Below are 13,390 nucleotides of genomic sequence, written 5' to 3' on the forward strand. Positions count from 1 at the left end.
AAAAACATTACAAACTTTTTGAGTTATAGCAAAATTGGTAATCCTTTGAAAATTGGAATGCATTTCAGAATAGAGTGCCCTTCAATGATAAGATGAGCAAGATAGGAAGGCAGTTAAAAGAAGTAATAGAAACATAAAATTGGGAAAAGTAGGTGGCATAATTTCATTTTCAAGTTCAATTACCTGCGTCAATATTTGGAAACAGGACTAGGGTCCGCTTGTTAAATGAGATAAGTGCATCCAATGTTAATTCAAACATTTTTATGGAATGCTTAATGTCAGTGGTCACAGGGTGCTGTAGTGCAACAATGTAATCTTTAGATTTTACATCATCACCTGTTTAAAGAAAATCAAACCACATTGCTTCATTAGTTAAGAATCTTAAAAGAGAAAGAAGCAAATTCTGAAAGCAAGACTCTAAGTCTGTGCTTTTAAAAATTCTACGATAGAAACAGTTTGTCAAATTGTGAACAGGGCATCCAAATTAGAGTCAAATGATAAGAATTTACAGCAACAAATCCAAGTATTCAGCAAACTTAACATTTTACAAAGACATGCTGCCACAAACATAACTTTAAATAGCAGGCACTAGAAATTCACTGTTTTAAAACCCAAACTATTCCAAAGCACTCAAAAAATGTGACTCTTCCCAATTTCTAACTAATGTTTTTAGTGAATATTCAGCAATATCAATGAATAATAATATGTTGCATATCAGGGCATTTTGAGGCTGAACAAGCATTAAACATATTTCCTAGAATGCACAGGAGCTTTCCTGTACTATCACCTACCAGATTCAACAAGTGGCAAGTGTTTCTAACTCTGTTAAAGGACTAGGAGAGTTTCGCTCATCCCTAGGCTGGGATCCCAAGGACGGTTCCTCAGCAAAAATTTAAAAGGTAAAAAGTTTAGATTGACAGTGCTATGTCAAACAACGCAAGGTATTTACCAATAGGGCCTATATTATCCCATAAAACTGAAAGTGAGCTCCACTTACTTTTTTTTTTAATTAAGTTTATTTATTTTTCCATAAGTTATTGGGGTATTAGGTGGTATTTGGTTACATGAGTTAGTTCTTTGGTGGTGATTTGTGAGATTTTGGTGCACCCATCACCTGAGCAGTATACTCTGTACCATATTTGTAGTCTTCTATCCCTCGCCCCCTCCTACTCTTCCCCCCAAGTCCCCAAAGTCCACTGTATCATTCTTAGGCCTTTGCATCCTCATAGCTTAGCTTCCACATATCAGTGAGAGCATACAATGTTTGGTTTTCCATTCCTGAGTTACTTCACTTAGAATAATAGTGTCCAGTCTCATCTAGGTCACTGCAAATGCTGTTAATTCATTCCTTTTTATGGCTGCATAGTATTCCATCATAGATACAGATATAGATGTAGATATATAGATGTAGATATATATAGATACACACACACACATAGATATATAGATGTAGATATAAATAGATATATATAGATACACACACACACACACACACACATATATATACACACCACCGTTTCTTTATCCAATCATTGATTAATGGGCATTTGGTTGGTTCCATGACTTTGCAATTGTGAATTGTGCTGCTATAAACATGCGTGTGCAAGTATCTTTTTCAAATAATGACTTCTTTTCCTCTGGGTAGATACCCAGTAGTGGAATTGCTGGATCAAATGGTAGTTTTCCATAGCGGCTGTACTAGTTTACATTCACACCAGCAGTGTAGAAGTGTTCCTGATCACCACATCCACGCCAGCATCTACTGTTTTTTGATTTTTTGATTATGGCCATTCTTACAGGAGTAAGGCGGCATCGCATTATGGTTTTGATTTGCATTTCCCTGATCATTAGTGATGTTCAGCATTTTTTCATATGTTTGTTGGCCATTTGTATATTTTCTTTTGAGAATTGTCTATTCATGTCCTTAGCCCACTTTTTTATGGGACTTTTTCTTACTGATTTGTTTGAGTTCATTGTAGATTCTGGATATTAGTCTTTTGTCAGATGTATAGATTGTGAAGATTTTCTCCCACTCTGTGGTTGTCTGTTTACTCTGCTATTCCTTTTGCTGTGCAAAAGCTCTTTAGTTTAATTAGGTCCAGGCTATTTATCTTTGTTTTATCGTATTTGCTTTTGGGTTCTTGGTCATGAAATCCTTGCCTAAGCCAATGTCTAGAAGGGGTTTTCCCATGTAATCTTCTAGAATTTTTATAGTTTCAGATCTTAAAGTCCTTAATCCATCTTGAGTTGATTTTTGTATAAGGTGAGAGATGAGGATCCAGTTTCATTCTCCTACATGTGGCCAGCGAATTATCCCAGCACCATTTGTTGAAAAAGGTGTCCATTCCCCACTTTATATTTTTGTTTGATTTGTCGAAGATCAGTTGGCTGTAAGTATTTGGGTTTATTTCTGGGTTCTCTATTCTGTTCCATTGGTCTATATGCCTATTTTTGTACCAGTAACATGCTGTTTTGGTGACTATGGCCTTATAGTATAGTTTGAAATCAGGTAGTGTGATGCCTCCAGATTTGTTCTTTTTGCTTACTCTTGCTTTGGCTATATGGGCTCTTTTTTGGTTCCACATGAATTTTAGAATTATTTTTTTAATTCTGTGAAGAATAATGGTGGTATTTTGATGGGGATTGCATTGAATCTGTAGATTGCTTTTGGCAGTATGGTCATTCTCGCAATATCAACTCTACCCATCCATGAGTATGGGATGTGTTTCGCAGTATCAGCTCTACCCATCCATGAGCATGGGATGTGTTTCCATTTGTTCATGTTGTCTATGATTTCTTTCTTTCTATCTTTCTTTCTTTTTCTCTCTTTTTTTTTTCTTTTTGATGTAGTCTCACTCTTGTTGCTCAGGCTGCAGTGCAATGGTGCGATCTCGGCTCACTGCAACTTCCGCCTCCCAGGTTCAAGCGATTCTCCTGCCTCGGCCTCCCAAGTATCTGGGACTACAGGTGCACATCACCATGCCCAGCTAATTTTTGTATTTTTAGTAGAGTCAGGGTTTCACCATGTTGGCCAGGCTAGTCTCAAACTCCTGAACTCAAATGATCTGCCCGCCTTGGCCTCCCAAATTGCTGGGATTACAGGTGTGAGCCACTGCACCCAGCCTATGATTTCTTTCAGCAGTGTTTTGTAATATCCCTTGTAGAGGTCTTTTGACTCCTTGGTTAGGTATATTCCTAAGTATTTTATTTTATTTTATATTTCATTTTATTATTTTATTTTACTTATTTTATTTTATTTTAATTTAATTTTGCAGCTGTTGTAATAGGGGTTGAGTTCTTGGTTTGATTCTCCGCTTGGTCGCTGTTGGTGTATAGAAGAGCTACTGATTTGTGTACATTAATCTTGTATCCAGAAACTTTGCTGAATTCTTTTATAAGTTCTAGGAGCTTTCTGGAGGTGTCCTTAGGATTTTCAAGGTAAATAATCATATTGTCAGCAAAGAGTGACGGTTTGACTTCCTCTTTACTGATTTGGATGCCCTTTTCTTCTCTTGTCTGATTGCTCTGGCTAAGACTTCCAGTACCATGTTGAAGAGGAGTGGTGAGAGTGGGCATCCTTGTCTTGTTCCAATTCTCAGAGGGAATGCTTTCAACTTTTCCCCATTCAGTATTACATTAGCTGTGGGTTTGTCATAGATGGCTTTTATTACATTAAGGTATGTCCCTTGTATGCTGATTTTGCTGAGAGTTTTAATCATAAAGGGATGCTGGATTTTGTTTAATGCTTTTTCTGCATCTACTGAAATGATCATGTGATTTTTAATTCTGTTTATGTGGTCCATCACATTTACTGACTTGTATACATTAAACCATCCCTGCATCCCTGGTATGAAACCCACTTGATCATGGAGGATTATCTTTTTGATATGTTGTTGGATTTGATTAGCTAGTATTTTGTTAAGGATTTTAGCATCTATGTTCATCAAGGATATTGGCCTGTTGTTTTTTTTGTTATGTCCTTTCCTGGTTTTGGTATTAGGGTCATGGGGGCTTCACAGAATAAATTAGGGAGGGTTCCTTCTTCCTCTATCTTGTAGAATAGTGTCAAAAGGATTGGTACCAATTCTTCTTTGAATGTCTGGTAGAATTCTGCTGTGAATCCATCTGGTCATGGAATTTTTTTTGTTGGTAATTTTTAAATTACCATTTCCATCTTGCTGCTTGTTATTGACCTGTTCAGGGTATGTAATTCTTCCTGATTTAAGCTAGTAGGGTTGTATTTTTCCAGGAATTTGTCCATCTCTTCTAGGTTTTCTAGTTTATGTGTGTCAAGGTGTTCATAGTAGCCTTGAATGATCTTTTGTATTTCAGTAGTGTCAGTTGTAATATCTCCTGTTTCATTTCTTAGTGAGGTTATTTGGATTTTCTCCCTTCTTTTCTTGGTTAATCTTGCCAATGGTCTAACAGTTTTATTTATCTTTTCAAAGAACCAGCTTTTTGTTTCATTTACTTTTTTTTTTTTTTAAGACAGAGTCTCACTCTGTCGCCCAGGTTGGAGTGCAGTGGCACGATCTTGGCTCACTACAACCTCCACCTTGTGGGTTCAAGCAATTCTCCTGCCTCAGCCTCCTGAGTAGCTGGGACTACAGGCCTATGCCACTACGCCTAGCTAATCTTTGTATTTTTTAGTAGAGATGGGGTTTCACCATGTTGGCCAGGATGGTCTCTATCTCCTGACCTTGTGATCTGCCCGCCTCGGCCTCCCAAAGTGCTGGGATTACAGGCGCGAGCCACTGTGCCCAGCAACAGTTTCTTTATGAAAGAAGGATGGCAAAGTAGCAAAAACTAGAAGTCTTTTTAGACCAGGGAAAAGTAAAACGCAAGACAATGAGCCAGAGCAACTCATCCCTGGCAAGAATACATTTCATACAAAGTTTGCACCTGCTTCTCCACCTGGCACTTCTGATATTATTACCAGTCTTTGTATCTATCCATAATTCAGCAGCCTCAGCCCTTTCATAAATCCTTTCCATAAAGGCATTTTGTTTTCTGTTGTAAAGTCCTATATTTACTGTGATATGCCTTTCATTATTAGGAATTTAACATGCCTTTTTAACATTGCTAATTTTAAAATTAAGATTGTTATATATTAACACTCTGGTTACAAAGCTGCAATGTTATATATGGCCTACCCAACCCTATCTTCCTGTAAGCAGAGTGATAGCATGAGAAGTTCCATATTAAGGCCAGGTGCGGTAGCTCATGCCTATAATCCCAGCAGTTTGGAGGGCTGAGGAGGGCGGATCACCTGAGGTCAGGAGTTCGAGACGAACTTGGCGAACATGATGAAGCCCCATCTCTACTAAAAATACAAAAATTAGCCAGGTGTGGTGGTGTGCGCCTGTAGTCCCAGCTACTCAGGAGGCTGAGGCAGGAGTATTGCTTAAACCTGGGAGGCAGAGGTTGCAGTGAGTCGAGACTGCGCTAATGCACTCCAGCCTAGGTGACAGAACTCCAGCCTTGGCAACAGAGCAAGACTCTGTCTCAAAAAAAAGAAAAAAAAAAAGAAGTTGCATATCAAGAAGCAGGAACAGGTTTTATATAAAATGTATTACTGCCCAGTGGTGGATGGCTCTGCCTCATTGTCTTGAGTTTTCTTTTTCACTGGTTTAAAGACCAAAAAAAAAAAAAGCAATTTTAGCTGTTCTGTTGTCCTTCTTTCCATAAAGAACTGCTTAAATTGTCCCAAATAGGACTTTAAGCCCTACAAGTACAATTCAATTTTGCTACATTCTGCTTTCTAATGGTTATTTGCTGTTTTTTGTTTTGAGACGGAGTCTCGCTCTGTTGCCAGATTGGAGTGCAGTGGCGCGATCTCGGCTCACTGCAGCCTCCGCCTCCTGGGTTTCATGCAATTCTTCTGCCTCAGCCTCCCAAGTACCTGGGACTACAGGTGTGCGCCACCATGCTCAGCTAATTTTTGTATTTTTAGTAGAGATGGGGTTTCACCATGTTGGCCAGGATGGTCTCAATCTCTTGACCTCATGATCTGCCCGCCGTGGCCTCCCAAAGTGCTGGGATTACAGGTGTGAGCCACCGCATCTGGCCTGGGTTTTATGCTTGTTTTTTTTTTTTTTTTTTTTTTTGAGATGGAGTCTCGCTTCTTCACCCAGGCTGGAGTGTGGAGTGCAGTGGTGCAATCTCGGCTCACAGCAACCTCCCTGGGTTCAAGCAATTCTCCTGCCTCAGCCTCCTGAGTAGCTGGGAGTACAGGCATGTGCCAGCACACCTGGCTAATTTTTGTATTTTTACTAGAAATGGGGTTTCACCATGTTGGCCAGGCTGGTCTCCAACTCCTGACCTCAAGTGATCCACCTGCCTGGGCCTCCCAAAGTGCTAGGGTCACAGGCATGAGCCACTGGCACCTGGCCAAAACTAGTGTTTTGTTTTTTTGAGACAGGGTCTTATTCTGTCACCGAGGCTGGAGTGCAGTGGCACAATCATGGCTCACTTCAGTCTTGAACTCCCAGACTCAAGCAATCCTCCCACTTCAGCCTCCGGAGTAGCTGGGACTACAGGCACACACCATCACACCCGGCTGATTTTTGTATTTTTTGTAAAGACAGAGTTTCACCACGTTGCCCAGGCTGTTCTCAAACCCCTAGGCTCAAGTGATCTGCCCACTTTGGCCTCTCAAAGTACAGAGATTACAGGCATGTGCCACCACATCTGGCACATTATTATTTTCTATTCATTACAAGTTTTTCAGTGATACAAGTTTTCCAGAATACCTAGAGAGCTAATGGTATAATTAGAACAGAATCCAAGAGTGTTTCATCGGAAGCATACTAAAAGGAGAGACTGAAGAGACAGAAGGTTGTTCCACCAGCATTATCTAGACGATCCCTTGATAATTACAAATCTGTCCAAGCATAAGAAATATTTAGAATGGGCCAGGTGCGGTGGCTCATGCCTATAAACCCAGCAGTTTGGGAGGCCGAGGCAGGAGGATTGCTTGAGCCTAGGAATTCATGACTAGCCTGGGCAAAATAGTGAGACCCCATCTCTACAAAAAAATTTTAAAAATTAGCTGGGCATGGTGGTACATGCCTGTAGTCCCAGCTACTCAGGAGGCTGAGGTGGTAGGATCACTTGAGCCCAGGAGGACAAGACTGCACCACTGCACTCCAGACTGAACAACAGAAATATGTAGAATGGAGTACGTTATATAGCAGGAAAGCCCAATTCCTTTCCTGATGTAATGTAATCTAGATTAAAAATATACAAAATCTCTTTGCTTATTCAATTTTCTTTTTCTTTCTGTGTTTTTTTTTTGTTATTGTTTTTTGTTTTTTTTTGTTTTGTTTTGTTTGAGACAGGGTCTTACTCTGTCACCCAGGCTAGAGTGCAGCAGTGTAATCACAGATCACTGTAGCCTCAACTACTCAGGCTCAAGTGACCCTCCCATCCCAGCCTCCCAGGTAACTAGGACTACATGCACACAGCACCACGCCCAGCTAATTTTCTTATTTTTTGTAGAGACAGCGTCTTGCTATGTTGCCCAGGCTGGCCTTGTAACTCCTAGGCTCAAGCAATACTCCCACTTCAGCCTCCCAAAGTGCTGGGATTACAGGGTGAGCCACCATACCTGACCCAACCAAATCAATTTTCTGTTCATTAATTTTATAATTCAATAGATCTGCCTCTTAGAAATGAAAGGTCCTAAATAGATTATTAGTCCTAATTTGTCCCCTAGGTAGTACTCTTACTATAAATTAACCAACTGACATTCTGTTTGTAAACTTGGATTTTTTTACCTCTGATTAGCAAAAGATAATTTCTAGGAAGCTAGAGCACTGAACAATAAAAATTTTGGAACATAGGGCTTATTTACAAAGATATACTCTAAGGCTACAACTATGACTTTTGCTTTTTAATAATCATCATAATCCCTTATATTAATAAGTACTTATGGCTTACTGCTTCCAACATTCATAATCTGAGTATTCCAACAATTCTATAAGAAAAGCATTAAAAATAAAAATGAGCCAGGCGCGGTGGCTCATGCCTGTAATCTCAGCACTTTGGGAGGCCGAGGTGGGCGGATTATGAGGTCAGGAGTTTGAGACCAGCCTGACCAACATAGTGAAACCCCGTCTCTACTAAAAATACAAAAAAAAATTAGCCAGGTGTGGTGGTGTGCGCCTGTAACCCCAGCTACTCAGGAGGCTGAGGCAGGAGAATCGCTTGAACCCGGGAAGTGGAGGTTGCAGTGAGCCGAGACTGAGCCACTGCACTACAGGCTAGGCAACAGAGTAAGACTCCATCTCAAAAAAAAAAAAAAAATGACCATTTTGCCAATGTAGTAAAAAATTTCAGAAAATCAGGCCAGGCACGGTGGCTCACGCTTGTAATCCCAGCACTTTGGGAGGCTGAGGTGGGCGGATCACCTGAGGTCAGGAGTTCGAGACCAGCCTGGCCAACATGGAAAAACCCTGTCTTTACTAAAAATATGAAATTAGCCAGGCATAGTAATCCCAGCCACTCGGGAGGTTGAGGCAGGAGAATCGCTTGAACCTGGGAGGTGGAGGTTGCAGTGAGCCGAGATTGTGCCACTGCACTCCAACCTGGATGACAGAGCAAGACTCTGTCTCAAAAAACAAAAAAAAAATTCAGAAAATCAAACATAAAAACACCCATAATCCCACACCAGAAATAAATATAATAAATGACTTGGTGTACATACTTCCTAACCATTCCATTATTACAGTTTTTAGTAAAATGGCAGATTACAGCTGGGTGCAGTGGCTCACACCTGTAATCCCAGCACTTTGGGAGCCCAAGGTGGGCGGATCACTTGAGGTCAGGAGTTCGAGACCAGCCTGGCCAACGTGGTGAAATTAAAAATAGAAAAATTAGCCGGTCATGGTGGTCCACGCTTGCAATCCCACATACTTGGGAGGCTGAGGCAGGAGCATCACTTGAACCTGGGAGGCAGAGGATGCAGTGAGCCAAGATCACACCACTGCACTCCAGCCTAGGCAACAGAGCAAGACTCCATCTCAAAAAATAAAATAAATAAAATAAAATGAAATGGCATATTACACTTATAATTTTATAGCTCCCCCTTTTGACATATTAGGATCGTTCTTATAACTAATATATTTAATGGATTAAAAGCATTCCATTCTATAAATATAGCAGAGATTTTTAAAACTCAATCCACTAAGCCTATTTTACAGAAAAGGTAAACCTCAGAGAGGTAAAGTCATACCACAGGGCAAGGTCTATGAACTAAAACCTTGGCCTTCTCATTGCTAACAGAGTATTCTATCCATAATAGTTTCCAAAAGGATTGAAATAGACGGAACATTTTCTGACAAAAACAGCCATTAGACTGACTAAAGTCTGAGATACGTACCTAGCCACATGCGAATGATGCTCATGTAGTCTTTGTTCTTGGCTGAGAGAAGTTTGTCATAGGAAGGGCAGCCTGCCAAAAGGATGCGATCATGGTCCTCACACATGGATATCAGGTGCTGCTCTGCACTGCGGGTGCAGCACACATGATAATGAGCCAGTTTTGTTATGGCATGTCTGATAGAGTCATCAATGGTCCCACTGACTTCCCCACCTTCAATGTGAAGGATTCGGATGTTCATCAAGGCAGCAGATGTGGCCAGAGCCAGGGCATCAAACCTGTCTCCATGAACAATCATGATATCAGGCTTCAGGCGATTAAGGACATCTGGCAGCTTCACTAGGGCCAGGCCTACTGACTCCACCATGGCTGCCTCATCTTCTCCCCTCACAATTGTGTGTAGCCTGGTGTTAATGTCAAAGTCATCTTGTTCAATCATTCGATATGTATTTCTAAAGCCGGGGAGAAATAAAGATATAAGAACATGTTCTTAAACACAGAGCCGTAACATGCAAGAAAAGCAATCTAACACCAACTCTGAAGTGAGAAACATTAAAATAAATAAATTGAAGTATAACTTACAAACATAAAAAGCATAGACCATAAGTGTAAACAGCCTGATTAAGATTCTTTTTTTTTTTTTTTTTTTTTTTTTTGAGATGAAGTCTTGCTCTGTTGCCCAGGCTGGAGTGCAGTAGCGCGATCTAGGCTCACTGCAACTTCTGCCTCCCGGGTTCAAGCGATTCTCCTGCCTCAGCCTCCTGCGTAGCTGGGATTACAGGCATGTACCACCACACCCAGCTAATTTTTCTATTTTTAGTACAGATGGGGTTTTGCCATGTTGGCCAGGCTGGTCTTGAACTCCTGACCTCAGGTGATCCACCCACCTTGACCTACCAAAGTGCTGGGATTACACGCGTGAGCGACTGCACCCGGCCAGAGAATTTTTTTATTAGGAAGAAAGAGACTAAACTTTTAACAGTGGTCAGCACTTTTTATATACACTTAGGGGAAAATGTTTTTTACCCTTTTTTTTATTTTTTTGAGACAGAGTCTCGCTCTGTCGCCCAGGCTGGGGTGCAGTGGTGCGATCTTGACTCACTGCAACCTCCACCTCCCAGGTTCAAGCGATTCTCCTGCCTCAGCCTCCCGAGTAGCTGGGACTACAGGCGTGTGCCATCACGCCCAGCTAATTTTTGTATTTTTAGTAGAGACAGGGTTTCACCATGTTGGCCAGGATGGTCTCAATCTCTTGACCTCGTGATCCGCCCGCCTCGTCCTCCCAAAGTGCTGGGATTACAGGTGTGAGCCACCGTGCCTGGCCAAACCTTTTTTCTTTAAGAAAACATTTCATGGTGAAAAGTCTCTCACTTTTGTCTCCCAGTCATCCAATTCTTCTCCCAAGAAGCAACCAATTTCTTGTGTTAGAATGTACCTTAAACATGCATTTTCATTAAGTACTAGTCAAATTTCCTATTTAACGGTCTCATCAGATAAACACTATTCTTCCACCCTTGGTAACTGTGGTAGGCAGATAAAAAACCTACTACCATTTCCCTGAGAGCCTCTCTTCCACTAGTCTTCCTGTCAAAGCTTTCTCAGAGCAGTAAAAGAACCCACTCAAACTTTCATCTCAGGCTCTAGCTAAAATTTCTGTTCTACTGAGAGGATGCTCCTAAATAGCCAGAATTCATTTTATATTAAAAAAAAATCTGGACGGACGCAGTGGCTCACACCTGTAATCCCAGCACTTTGGGAGGCGGAGGCAGGTGGATCACCTGAGGTTGGGAGTTTGAGACCAGCCTGACCAACATGGAGAAACCCCGTCTCTACTAAAAATACAAAATTAGCCGGGCATGGTGGCGCATGCCTGTAATCCCAGCTACTCGGAAGGCTAAGGCAGGAGAATCACTTGAACCCGGGAGGTGGAAGTTGCAGTGAGCCGAGATCACGCCACTGCACTCCAGCCTGGGCAACAAGAGCAAAACTCCGTCTCAAAAAAAAAAAAAAAAAAAAAAATCTGTGGATCCCTGAGCTATCCATTAAGTTTCTTCTCTACTCTTTAAGTATTTCCTAGTAGCGAATTCCCACCTTGTTTTTAAAGAATAGTCTGAAAAGGACAATTTTATTTTAACGCAAGGTTCTTTCAGATACAGTATTGTATTTGTGATCCTCTTTGGAGACTGCATTAATATATTCATGCCACAAGGGTGCACTAAATGACTTTTTATTACATACATCAAGATGTATGTAATACGCCTTGTTCTCTCAGATTATTCAACCTTTGCTTTTTTTTTTTTTGAGACGGAGTCTCACTCTTGTTGCCCAGGCTGGAGTGCAGTGGTGTGATCTCAGCTCATTGCAACCTCCGCCTCCCGGGTTCAAGTGATTCTCCTGCCTCAGCCTCCCGAGTAGCTAGGACTACGGGCATGCGCCACCACAACTGGCTAATTTTTTTTTTTTTTGTATTTTTCGTAGAGATAGGGTTTCACCATGTTGGCCAGGCTGGTCTCAAATTCCTGACCTCAGGTGATCCACCCACCTCAGCCCCCCAGAGTGCTGGGATTATAGGCATGTGCCACCGTGCCCGGCCCAACTTTCACTTTTTAAATGTAGCCTGTGATTAATAACAAACCTAATGTCAGCAAAATAAATGTCAATGGTGACAGTAATGTAACTCTCTACTTTACCTTGCAGATTAGATTTTTAAAATCTTGTTCCATATCTACTACTTTATATGCTGTTGGCCTATAAACCAGTTTTAAAGATTGCCATTACAGCTCACAAAACAGTTTACATGGAATCACATTATTATACTCATACAATATGTATTTATAAGTGGCATTTGTTTGAATGTAACAACTAATAACAAACAGTAATATTATTTATAGCTACCATTTATCAATCATCTACTAAGCGGCATCATTGTGATGGATGCTCTATATCATGATCTCCATTCCTCACAATAATTTACAATATAAGTTTTCACTACATTATATAATGAGGAAACTGAGGCTCAGAGATGCTAAGTGACTACTCTAAGGCCACATAAAAACTAAGCAGCAGAACAGGAATTTGAAGCTGGGCCCATATGGCTACAAAACCCAAGCTCCTTCTAGCACACTGTTGCAATGAAGAATAAGAAAATGCTTTCATCTTACCCATAGTCATCTATCAGGTGAGAGCCAAGTACCACAACATCAAGTTCAAAGAACTCAGGTTCGGTTTTAATGCCAAACATGATCGGGGCAAGTTTAGAATAATCTGCACGGTTACAAGTAGCAACACAAACCCGCAGCTTTCGGTTATTTCCATTCTTCTCCATGATTTGCTTGTTTCGTTTTGAGAGGTTCTTAAAATAGAGTTCCTGAAATTGCCAAAATAAAAACTTTATAATCAGAATAACTCCTAGATATAACTAAACTTTAAACTTCTCTAAATCAGAAATAGAAATTTTCAGTTTCAAGTCCTTAACCACTATTTAGTACAGTGATTCTTAATCTTTTTTTGCACCTCCACTTATGTGTGACTCTCCCATTGGTATATCCAGAGTTAAGAAACTCCAAGGCTGGGAGTGGTGGCTTACGCCTGTAATCCCAGCACTTTGGGAGGCCGAGGTGGGCAGATCACGAGGTCAGGAGATCAAGACCATCCTGGCTAACGTGGTGAAACCCCGTCTCTACTAAAAAATACAAAAAAAAAAATTAGCTGGGCGTGGTGGCGGGTACCTGTAGTCCCAGCTACTCGGGAGGTTGAGGCAGAAGAATGGCGTGAACCCAGGAGGCGGAGCTTGCAGTGAGCTGAGATCGCACCACCACACTCCAGCCTGGGTGACAGAGCGAGACTCCATCTCAAAAAAAAAAAAAGAAGAAGAAACTCCAGCAAACTAACTGTAACACCACCCCATCCTCTCACACTCAAGAAAACACACTGGAATGCCATTAAGAAGGAGTGATATAAATCAGCTCTTGTTTAAAAGGTGAGGAAATATCAGCTCTTTATTATTAA

At 41.0% G+C, this 13,390-nt stretch overlaps 1 protein-coding gene across 9 annotated transcripts in view, besides 1 other annotated feature; it reads right to left on the reverse strand.

Annotated features, from left to right (window-relative positions):
* Positions 1 to 13,390, reverse strand: part of GNE (glucosamine (UDP-N-acetyl)-2-epimerase/N-acetylmannosamine kinase) — a 62,538-nt gene that overhangs the window by 22,208 nt on the left and 26,940 nt on the right. For 4 of the 9 annotated variants that reach the window (NM_001128227.3, NM_001190383.3, NM_005476.7 and 1 more), the window contains exons 2-4: positions 12,544 to 12,749; positions 9,383 to 9,834; positions 184 to 336 (exon numbers count right to left, since the gene is read on the reverse strand). In NM_001128227.3, coding sequence (NP_001121699.1) covers positions 184 to 336; positions 9,383 to 9,834; positions 12,544 to 12,749 — 811 coding nt within the window. The remainder of the gene's footprint in view (positions 1 to 183; positions 337 to 9,382; positions 9,835 to 12,543; positions 12,750 to 13,390) is intronic. The other 5 variants (NM_001190388.2, NM_001374798.1, XM_005251334.5 and 2 more) reach the window with 3 other exon arrangements.
* Positions 8,488 to 8,658: a silencer, noted in NCBI's record as "fragment chr9:36245133-36245303 (GRCh37/hg19 assembly coordinates)". NCBI's record gives its function as "represses an EF-1alpha promoter that drives an FKBP-Casp9 reporter gene in an ReSE screen in K562 erythroleukemia cells {active_cell/tissue: K562}" and the evidence as "EXISTENCE:reporter gene assay evidence [ECO:0000049][PMID:32094911]".

The sequence above is a fragment of the Homo sapiens genome, chromosome 9, assembly GCF_000001405.40.
Source record: "Homo sapiens chromosome 9, GRCh38.p14 Primary Assembly".
NCBI classification, from domain to species: Eukaryota; Metazoa; Chordata; class Mammalia; order Primates; family Hominidae; genus Homo; species Homo sapiens.